The following is a 12,462-nucleotide window of genomic DNA, read 5'->3' as shown; positions in this document are numbered from 1 at the left end:
ATATTTAAGAAACTAAATAACATTGTGTTAAATAAGGAGAAATGCCTTTAGGCAAAAGCAAATTAAGTACACCTGCTGGATCTGTAGGGAAGATACAATAAAGCAGTAAATGTCTGTGAAAAATATGAAACAGAAATCTAAGCTTGCATGTTTTAGATTAAGAAAATATTAGTGTAGTTTTTTATCTACCAAATATTTTACTAAGAGTTAAAGTAATACTTTATAAAGATGCTTCTCAATGTATACATTTTATGAACTTGACACAGTAGGGAACTTCTACTGTGACTAGTTGGTGATTGTATGGAGATTAGCTGAAAAATTTCTAATACAGTCATGCACTGCATAATATTTAGGTCAATGAGAAACTGCATATCTGATGGTGGTTCAATGGGATTATTTATAATACCAAGTTTTTACTATACCTTTTCTATGTTTAGATACACAAATACTTACCATTGCATTATTATACAATTGCCTACAATATTCAATACAGTAACATGCTGTACAAGTTGGTAGCCTAGGAGCAATGGTCTGTACTGCAGAGCCTAGTTGTGTAGAAGGCTACACCACCTAGGTTTGTGTAAGTATGCTCTGATGTTTGCACAATGATGAAATTGCCCAGGGATGCAGAATGTATCCCTGAGACTATATCCCTGTTATTAAGCAACACATGAATGTATTTAAAACTTGAAATAACATAGCAGTAGCTAAATAAGTTTGAGTTTGTATAAATACATACTATTAAAGGGTGTGGTCACATAAGAAAATCTGTTAAGAAATTCTTGGTATTTAAAGATGAAAATATATTGTTAAAAACTATAATTCCTTTATAACTATAAAGCTTTTCTAACACATTTTTATGTCAATTTTCAGATATTTTGATAGGAGCAGAGCATTTTGGTCCACTCTGAGGATTCTTTTATTAATCTTATACAAGAAAGGTATCCATGCCTGTGCCCCAGGAAAAACATGATTCGTTAGTCACTATGGCAGACTCTGTTCTGCTGGAAGTATGGAAAAGCATCCTAACAGGAAGAATGGTAGTGAATGAGGACAGCATGAAAGAAAGGAATAACAAAGCCTCCGGGGCAGCTAAAGCCCCAAGCGTACAGTCTCTATAGTAGTACAGTAGTAGCCACATTCAACCTATTTTAAAAGAGTTTTTATTTTTCCAACAAATCCTTCTTAAGTAATTATTATTCACAAGGCACCCTGACAGGTTTCTGAGTGGCACTAGGGTCAATCAGAGCATACAAAGCTCTCATCTTTCCTCCACATCAAAAACAAGGGAGGATGTTGATGAACGTCAAAGTCAGATTTTTAAACTTTGCATCTTTCCTTTGTTATACGTATATTGTAAAGAGTAAATGACACAATGCATGGGAAGCACTTTGCGCTATACTCAGTGCATAACACCTGCAAAATAAATAAATCTTGACTATTTGTATCAGTAGTGGTGTTAGCATTATTGTTCTTAATAATATCAAGGCAAATAACTTAGAAAACATCATGGAAGGACACCGTGGAAACATGCTGCCCAACTGCAGCTGATAAAGGCTAAAGAAATACAGAATGTATGACTTCCTATTTCTTTTGTCTTTTTTTATTGTTTGTTTGTTTGTTTGTTTGTTTATTTATTCATTTATTTATTTATTTATTTATTTTTTGAGACGGAGTCTCGCTCTGTCGCCCAGGCTGGAGTGCAGTGGCGCGATCTCAGCTCACTGCAAGCTCCGCCTCCCGCGCTCACGCCATTCTCCTGCCTCAGCCTCCCGAGTAGCTGGGACTACAGGTGCCCGCCACCATGCCTGGCTAATTCTTTGTATTTTTAATAGAGACGGGCTTTCATCGTGTTAGCCAGGATGGTCTCGATCTCCTGACCTCGTGAACCGCCCACCTCGCCTCCCAAAGTGCTGGGATTACAGACGTGAGCCACTGCGCCCGGCCATGACTTCCTATTTCAAGTCACCCTTTCTCTGTTTCCCAAAAACTTCAGTAGGAGACGGCTATGGTCTGAATGTCTGTGTTGCCCCCAAATTCCTATGTTGAAACCTAACTGCTGAGGTGATGCTATTAGGAAGACTTTGGGGAGGTGATTATGCCATGAGGGCAGAGCACTCATGAATGGAATTAGTATCCTTATAAAAGAGATCCCAAAGGGCTAGCTTGCCCTATTTTCCCCACGTGAGAACCCAGTGAGGAGGCATCATCTACAAGCCAGGAAGCAAGTCCTCATCAGATACCGAAATCTTTAGGCATCTTGGTCTTGGACTTCCGGCCCCCTGAACTGGGAGAAATAAGTCTCTGTTGTTTACAAGCCACTCAGTCTATGGTATTTTGTTATAACAGCCTTGAATGAACTAAGGCAGATTTAGATGTTCTATGTAGTCAGAGAGAAGTTTACCTAATAAGTAATGACTTGACACCATGAATATGTCTCCTTTTTAGTCTCCACAGCCCAATTAAAACTTAGTCACAACCTACACATTGAAAAACAGTGGTCTATTCTCTCATGTAGTAGCAGAAATCTAACATTTAGCAGAAAATGTGCTTTAAAGAGAAAAGTTTCTTTCAAGAACTGTTCTTCAGAAGAGAAAATAAGATATAAAATTGATGTTTCAATAATGAGGTTTAAATTACAGCCACTGAAGTTGTGTAAGTATGCTCTGATGTTTGCACAATGGTGAAATTGCCTAGGGATGCAGAATGAATAATTGTCCTTGTTCCAGACAAAGTTACTCGACTTTTCCAAGGCAATTCGCTTTAGGAAATTTGATAGCTATTATCGAATTTCAACTATTTCAGCTATTTCAACTTATCTCCTATTCAGCCTTTTAAGACTTTCTTTCTCATTCAACATAGATCTGGTCTTAGGCTGGAGATTAGTGCTCAGCTAGAGATTTGCCTCACAAAGAGAGGAGCAAAAATGGCAATATTATTTTTAATATCTTCCAGTAACACAGATATCTAACCACAAGAGTTTTGAAAATGCGTAGTTTAATATAAGAAACACAATTTGATAGTAATTATCATATTAATTGATTATTGTTTGGTTCTCAAATGCCTTTCACACATCTCTCCCTCTACTACAATTGAAAGGAATTACACAAGAGGTTAAGAATAGTTTTTTTTATGTTTGTTATTGTTTTTTCTTTTAACTAAGCAAGGCAATAATATACATTAAAACCCTTCCGAGCCTATGGAGACACATTTCTGAATATACATTTCTGGGGATTATGATGTAATAATGTGTAAAATACATAATCTTATAAAATGCCGTTTTACAGCATAAGAGAATTTACTCATCATAATAAACTTCACATAAAACATTTCTAAAAACAAAATATTATAATGATCACAAAATGTTTACAAAATAAAATTACCAAAATAAGAATTTAAGGACAAAAATAATTTGCTATTGATCAATATTTAACACAATAAAATTCAATACTTCACAATTAGAGTGTAATTTAAATACTAACCATATGGGAAACATTTTTACAGTTTGAAAGGCCACCTTTTGAAGTATAATGTCTAAATACCATTTAATCAGAAAAAGTGATTTGAAAGTTTAGAGAATTGGTAATATCTGTTATACTATTTTCTGTACTGGAACTGAATCCATTAAAACTTGAAACTGGTTTATTATTCATTATTTCAACAAAGCTAAATCTAATATGAACTACCATAAATAACGCAATTACTGCAGATTATATGTGTCTCCCATGAAAAACATTACACACAGAGCATTCCCATTACGATTATCCCATCCATATCACCTGCACCCACAGATTCTTCATAGTGCTTCTCACTCATCTCATTCAAGAAGCCTCCTCCAGATGAGATGTAAGTCCTGCATCTTCCCTTATCTCTTTGTGTGGTTTTTTTCCTGTCATCTTATTTATTGCACCATATGTTTTTAAAGAAGGAGGATCTTGGACGGCAATGCCTCACTTTCATTTCTGCAAAACTTATCATTTGGTAAACGTAAGTTATGACAAATGTAGCTGTTTAATTTTTCTTGAACTAGCTTTGAATAAATAATCAGTGGCAGAAAAATGTTAACTAGAAAAAAAAAACACTTAAAGATCTCAATATTGACCTAATATTTGACAAAGACTTATGAAGAAAATGGGGAAAGCATGGTATTGAATTAACATTTTCACTGAAATTAAAACACATGAATTTAGAGGAGGGAAGCTAGTTTATAAGGTTGACCAACGATAAGCAGTTTGCTTTGGTTGCTTACTTAAAAAAGTAATAAAAGTCGAGAACTTTGAATTTTGAGAAAACTAGATCGAGAAGTACATATTGGCCTACTAGAAATTCTTATAAGTAGAGTTCTCAATCTTGGGAGGGGTCTGCCTGACAGACCTTGTACTTGAGGAAAATCATGTTCCTGTCTGTGTGTGAAGCGAGCTCCTGTAAAGGGAGGGTGGCAGCAAAGGTCTCAGTGATCTACTGGGAAAAGACATAGGGTGAGGATGGTTTGGTCTCAAATGCAGTTATGTAAATGCAGCATCTAAGATACATTGTGAAGAAAAATTGAAGTCGTGACCAATAGTTTTTAATTTTGGAGAATTCAGAAAGATAATAGCACTATAGTGTTCCTGAGAAAGTAAGAAAGGGGTGCTGGGTATTTTTTGGAAGCGGGTGTTGGAAAGGAGTTGATAGAATAGAAAAAACCACAGCTGATGGAATGATGACAAATACTTCAAATGATAATTTTCTTTTCTTTCTTTTTCTTTTTTTTTGAGACAGAGTTCTACTCTTATTGCCCAGGCTGGAGTGCAATGGCACAATCTTGGCTCATTGCAAACTCGGCCTCCCAGGTTCACATGATTCTCCCAGCCTTCTGAGTAGCTGGGATTACAGGCATGTGCCACCACACCTGGCTAATTTTGTATTTTTAGTAGAGACAGGGTTTCTCTGTGTTGGTCAGGCTGGTCTCGAACTCCTGACCTCAGGTGATCCACCTACCTCAGCCTCCTGAAGTGCTGGCATTAGAGGTGTGAGCTACCTCTAATTACCTCTAATACCTCTAATACCTCTAAATACCTCGGCATTAGAGGCCGAGGTACCACGCCCGGCCTCAAATGATAATTTTCTGTAACTTGCGTGTGTGTGTGTTTGTATAGACAGAATCTTAAGCACTAATTGATCATTGTCACATATCCACTCATATTTTAACTATGTTTTGTGCTTAAAGCAATATAGGAGATGTAAAATTGCAAGCCTTTTGTATTGCCTCATAGGCACTAAGAGTAAAAAAAAAAAAAGCATTATCATGACTTAATGTTGCTTCAGTTTACTATTCATCTAATATTTTAATTTTAAATTGATAATTTTATACTTGAATCATCATCTGTGTTTCTCCATGACTTCACTGAATTATGTTAGAATATTTCAATTTATTAATAATATATTCTTGGAACGCACTGAATATCAGGAGCTTGCCAGTGAAGAACAGTAGCTTCACAATATCACGTGTAAACCAACCTGATGTCAAGGAAGATAAAGCCAAAAATAGAAAAACAGTTGAATGTATGAAGTTACTAATGAATTCCCCAATCAGCAATTAAATCTTCACTTTCCCCTTGGACCTTTCCATTTGGATGCCTTAGTGATACTTCAGATTCAACATGTCTCAAATATAATGCTTTATCTTTCTCATGCATACTTATTTTCTCTCTGAGTGGATATATAACTATCCTCTGAGTTGCCCAAGCTACAAACTTTATAAACATTCCTGATTTCTGCCTTCTCAATCTTGGAGTTCAACTAATAATCAAGTTCGAATGGTTTAAATTTTTAACTTTTTTTCAATTTAGATTCCATCTCTCATTCATTTCATTTTAACAAATTTACTAAGGACTTAATCTACGTCAGGTGTTGTGCTAAGAACAGCAAAAAAAAAAAAAAAAAAGCAGACGCCATCCCTGCCCCCAGGGAGTTTACAATCCAGTGGAAGAAATGGGTATTACTCAACATCACACGGACAGAATTAAAGTTTCAACTTTAATTCTTGGTGCCCGGGCCGGGCATTTGATCCAATCAGGAAGGCTTCTCTGGGAGGTGACACTTCAACTAAAATCAGAAAAAAAGAGGAGCAATAGGAGCATCACGGACAAAATTAACAGCTCATGAATCTATGCAGAGGGTGATGTTGGGAGGGACACAGAGAGAGAGGAAGGAAGATGAGGAGCATAGCAGCCTAAATTCGAATCCCTACCTCACCATTCTTGACAATTCCATTAGCCTACCAAGTTGTGCCTCTTTTTCACAATTCCTAGCCCATCATTTGCATTTCCTCCTGAATTATCTTTCTAAGTGCAAATTTGTTCTTCTCATTCTAATGCTTACAATTCACTCACTGCATCTCCCTGGAATACAAAACAGTTCCTCCATGCCCCGGCCCAGCCAACATTCACAGTCTCATGCGTGTCACCCACCCAAACCCAGTTGTACTTAAACACATCTCAGAATGAGAGGTCATCTTCCATGCTTCCATGACTGTATGTCTGCTGTTCCCTCCTACTAAATATACTTTACCTTCTATCCAGTGGAACTCCATTCATCCTTCAGTACTGAAATCAAATACAAACTTTTTCTACAATACTTCTAGCAAAATATTTGATCCCACTATACTTTGCATATCATCTATTGAAATACATGTTACTATACACGCAATTGTTTCTGTAACTGTTTCTCTCCCTAGATTGTGAATCACTTGATATTAAGGACAACCATTCACAAATTTTCAGTGTCTGATTTACAGCAGACTTAAAAAAAAATCCGTGGAATAATATATGAAACAATTTACATAAAAAATAGCACTCAACTTTTCCAAACAATTCTTAAAAACCAGTCACTAAATCCAGCTTTATGAAATGTGTTAAATCAAGTCATTGCTTGAGGGAAAAGGGGTTCCATAAAACAAAACAATTTCCATGAATTGTGGACTCTCTCATAATAGGCTTTGAACCCTCAGTTATATAGGAAACATTTTCCTCAAGAGAAAACCTTAATAATACATTTTTGAATCTCTATCCACAGAAGTGTAGCACTCTATAATATTTTTAAAGTAAGTAGTTGTGCACCATTTTCCTAAAATGTCTTATTTTGTAATTTCCAGAGGCTCCAGTGGGGCAGATAGAAGAGAAAAAGGCCTGAAAGTGAGACTTCATAGCTGCTGTCAGGAGCTGTCACAGCGCAGTTATTCCCTTTTCTCTTACCCTTCCCTGTCTCAAATAACCTGATCAGAAGGAGGAGGAGGAGGAAGAGAAGGGGAGGAGGAGGAAGAGGAGGAGGAAAGGAGGAGAGGAGGAGAGGAGGAGGAGAAAGAGAAGTGGAGGAGGAGGAAAGGGAGGAGGAGGAAGAGAAGGGGAGGAGGAGGAAGAGAAGGGGAGGAGGAGGAGAGGAGGGGGTAGGAAGAAAGCTTGCATTTGCAAAAACACTTCAACAGATCAGCACTTGCAAAAATTTACAAATTTAGAAGAGGAAAGGGATAATATAAAGATGTTTGTATGGGATAAGCCTCTATGCCTACTAAAACAAGGCCTTTTCTTGAATTATTTCTGTTTCCTATTTCTACCTTGTCCTCATAACCTCAGTTATTCTGTCCTCTTACCCAAGTCTGCTCCATCTTCAAACCCACTTCAGCTCTCTTGACCACTGTCTAGATAATCTCGCAGTCTGTGATCTCTACCACTAACAACATTCTCTGATTCCTTAACTTGATGTCTCTCTCACTGGCATTAATCGTAATACCCTGGGCCTTGTCAGACCCAATATTTTTTCTCAAATCTGGTGGCACACTTGAAAATTAAGCATGTACAGCCATTATCATTGAAAAAAATCAGAATTTATAATCAATAGATAATGAATTCAAACCTTACCTCTCCTATCAATTAGTTGTCAAACCATGAGTTTGACACTTAATTTTGAAGCATTTTAAATCTGTATAATGATGTCAGAGGCAGGTGAACCAGAGAACCTCCATCTTGGATAGGAGCTGGGTAAAATAACTGAGACCTACTGGGCTGTATTCCCAGATGGTTAAGGCATTCTAAGTCACAGGATGGGATAGGAGATCAGCACAAAATACAGGTCACAAAGGCGTTGCTGACAAAACAGACTGCAGTAAAGAAGCCAGCCAAAACCCACCAAAACCAAGATGGCGAGGAGTGACCTCTGGTGGTTCTCACTGCTACACTCCCGCCAGCGTCATGATGCCATGGCAATGTCAGGAAGTTACACTATATGGTCTAAAAAGGGGAGGCATGAATAATCCACCCCTTGTTTAGCATATCATCAAGAAATAGCCATAAAAATGGGCAACTAGCAGCCCTGAGGGCTGCTCTGTCTATGGTTTCGGCATTCTTTTACTCCTTTACTTTCCTAATAAACTTGCTTTCACTTTACCCTGTGGATTCGCCCCGAATTTTTTCTGGCGTCAGATCCAAGAACCCTCTCCGGGGGTCTGGATCGGGACTCCTTTCCTGTAACATTTCTCTGGCGACCACAGAAGGGAATATAGTACAGAAACCCCCGACCCAAAGGTTAACTTTGGGTGAGTGTTGGGTCCTGTAACAATGGGAATAGCAATATCCATTTCATACTGCTGCGAAAATAGATTGAAGTCATCATTTAGATGTGTTTTATGAATTGTAAATAACTTGTCTATTTTATTGTTCTTTTAAATTTTGCATCAATTTGGCTTAACTTCTCCAACTATTAAATAATTAGCTTGCTGAGAGAGGCAATTGATTCTCTGGGTTGCAGCTTTCTCATCTAAAATGAAAACAATAATGCCCAACTAACAGAGTTGTTGAGAAAGTAAATGATATACATTCCCAGAGCCCAACACAGTGTTTGCACATGAAACACGCCTGATAATTGTTAGCTTCGCTGTCCTCTTCTCTGTATATTATGGAGTGCCTACCTCAGATATTTGCAGAAACAGTGGGTGATAAATCTATTTGAAGAGAAACCTTCTGTTTCTCTAACTCTTCAGAAATGGGAATGTCTTTTAAAAAAAAAATATCACCACAACAAAAATGCAGCTGCTCAATGCAGTTCTTTTAAGTAGGAGTTGATCTATAAAAAGAATAAGCATTAAAACTAACATTTTCCATTCATATGGAATTACTAATAAAAACAACACAGGTATAAACATTTTGAATTTATTTTAAAAATCACCTACCCATGTCTGCAATGTTAAAAAAAATAGTCAAAAGTATAAAGAATTATTGAGCTTTCAAGAAAAGATAAAAAGGCTTAATGAACCTGGCCTCTCCATTCAAAATGAAAACGCATTTCTTTCCCTTCCTCACCCTTCACATTCCTGATACTCATTCACCTGCCCTAACCTTTTCACTTTTTCAACATATTTACCATTTTTTTGTATTTTAATTTGCTAATTAACTATATGTACTATCATTTTTCTGTTTCTCTTCAACTCACGATAATGTAAGATTGTGTAAAAGAGACACAATATCACATTTGGCTGTGTTGACTGATTTGTTTCCTAGCTCTTCCGTTTCCCAAAATCTCAAGCTTAACAAGAACAGGTCAAAGATTTGGTTGGAAGGTCAACGTTTTCAATTTTAAATGCTTTTCCAGAAGTTGAACAGAAGCCAGTTCTTGCAACACTGAAGAAAAGTCTCACTATTGAAGCAGGGGGAAAGAAAAAATAACTCTCAGGGAAAGCTCTGGTCAAAGATCGCCTAAGCAGCAGCCAGCTGGTTCTGTTCCACGAAGGAACACACCCTTGCTGGGTAAGAGGCTCAAGTCAGCCTAATTTTGATAAGGGCTGGATGGTCAAGTTCTACATTGCACGCTTCCAACACTCATGTTACAGCCTGGAACTCACAGCTAAGCCAGAAATGCCAACCGGGCAAAGACTGGACATTACAGACTTGTCAAACATCTCATCTTTCCTTGCAAAGGAGTTGGACTTTGGATTTCAAAAAAGAAGACTCAAAAATAGTATTGATATCTTCACTTTTAGCAATTAGAAAGGTTTATCCGATAGAAAACTTAAGGTATAATATTTGGTGTTTATATATGCTACATTCAAAATTTTAATTTAAAAAATGTTAAATACAATGTGATATCCTGATGGATCCTAAAACATAAAATCATTAGTAGAAAAACTCGTGAAATTCAAATTAAGTCTAGAATTTAGCTAATAGTTAAGTCTTAATGTTGGTTTCCTTTTTGTAATGAAATACCATGTTCATATAAGATGTTAGTATTAGGGAAGCTGGATAGGGGTACATGCCAACACACTGTATTCTTTGCAAGCTGTGTGTAATTCTTAAACAATCCCAAGCTCACTTAAAAATGAAGAAAAATATACCTTAAAGTAGATTGACCAAAAATCTCATGATAATTATTTGGAAGGTGAAATACGGACAATTTTTTCTATTCTTGCTTTACATTACTTTGAATTGTCCATATTTTTACTATTATTTTATTATTAAAATTGAGACAATTATAATAAACATTATCAATAAAAATAATTTTGTCTTTCTGTATCCTAAAACACATAAATTTCTAATAGTTATTAATTAACAGGAAAGAAAATACAATGGTTACCTAATTTTAACAATGAACCTTTTTAGGTCAGTGATACCCATTTGAAAGAATTCACTTTCTTGATAGACTCTAAAGACATTCATCTTTAGGTTCTTAAAATTAATAAAATTATAGTTAAGTGATGTTCAAAATGTGGATCTTCATGATTCCATTTGTAAATAAATTTTATTACGTAATATTTTCAAAGCCATATTGTTTTAGTTAATTTTTAAATTGGGAATATCTCCAAACACAGTTACGGGCTTAAAAGTGAATTTTTGGCTAATATGAGCTATTTGGCAATTTTTTAATCCTGGATTTCCCCACATTTCTGTTTATTATACTACAATCAAAAATGATATTATGAAATACATTAAGCTTAATGAGATTTTGGTTTGAAACACAAAGTAATTAAGAAAAACAAAACTAAAGCCAAAGTACTAAATTCTAAAATTAAAACATTAAGTAAAACCACTGTTTACCCATGGGATGCCTGGAAGAGAGTATCATTGGGACATGTTGGCTGATGGTAATTCCCCTCCCTTCTTCTACAGTTTGTGTGAAGTTCCAATAAAAATACTTGGTTCTAAAACATGTAGACAATTAATAAATATGAACATAAATAAACACTTTAAAAGTAAAAAGGACAACTTAAGGTTTTGAGTCTTACTGAAAATAAATCAGAACTTGAATGAAAACAAAAATCAAAGAAAGCTGCATAGAATTTTCTCAATGCCAAAAAATTCCTACTAAAAAACGTCCTTGTGTTACAGACAACTTTTTTGGGAATATAAACATTAATTTTGGAGTATGCTAAATAAAATAAACTTTCCCTCCACCAAAGAATAGTATCTAGAACAACATTCAAATGAATTTCCTAATTTTATTAACAAGGAATAGTAGACATGATGTCATTAAGATTCTTATCTTCAAATCTTCCACCTTGGATTTGTGAAAGTTATGAGTGTGTATACTATGTCCTATTTGAATATATACACATAACACATATGCACACTATGTATGTATATATATGTATATATATATATATTTGTATGTGTATATATTTGTACATATATTTGTATAAATATATGTATTTGTTCATATATGTATTGTTCATATGTATTGTTCATATGTATATGAACAAATACAGTTGATCCTTGAACAACACAGGAATTAGGGTCACTGACCCCATGCAGTCAAAACTTTGTGCTTAACTTTTGACTCCCAAATCTTAATTACTAACAGCCCACTGTTGACCAGAAGCCTTTCTGATAACAAAAACTCAATCAATACGCATTTCATAAATTATATGTATTATGTAGTGTATTCTTACAATAAAATAAGCTAGAGAAAAGAAAATGTTATTTTAAAAAATCATAAGGAAGAGAAAATGCATTTACTATTCATTAAGTGGAAGTGGATCATTATAGAGTTCTTCATTCTTCACATTGAGTAAGCTAAGGGGGAGGAGGGAAAGGAGGCGTTGGTCTTGCTATCTCAAGGGTGGAAAGTGGAAGAAAATCCACATACAAGGGGACCCTCGCGGTTCAAACCTGTGTTGTTCAAGGGTCAACTATAATGTCATGACTCTTCTTTGCTTCCTGGGAGCATTTCCAGCATCACTATCGCATTTTCTATAGGTCTCATGGTGTTATTCAAGGTTTATGATATTGCATTACACAAGAAGAAAAATACACACAAATCATGAGAAATCATTTTTACTGCAATATCCAACTGATTGGAGATACAACTGGCTCATGCAGAGATGATTAGCATCACATGGTGTTTTAAGCAGATACTCACAGCACTTGAGCTCACTGCAGTAGCAACAGGAGGTGGCTATGAAATTATTACAGTAGTACAGTATGTACCACAGTTAAT

General features: G+C 35.8%; 1 protein-coding gene across 3 annotated transcripts in view; it reads right to left on the bottom strand.

Moving 5' to 3' along the window:
• TNFSF13B (TNF superfamily member 13b) overlaps positions 1-12,462 on the bottom strand; it is a 38,856-nt gene that overhangs the window by 22,489 nt on the left and 3,905 nt on the right. The window lies entirely within an intron of this gene.

This window comes from Homo sapiens, chromosome 13, assembly GCF_000001405.40.
Source record: "Homo sapiens chromosome 13, GRCh38.p14 Primary Assembly".
In the NCBI taxonomy this organism is placed as follows: Eukaryota; Metazoa; Chordata; class Mammalia; order Primates; family Hominidae; genus Homo; species Homo sapiens.
Note: the sequence above shows the minus strand (reverse complement) of the source record. Positions and strands in the feature narration are given on the sequence as shown.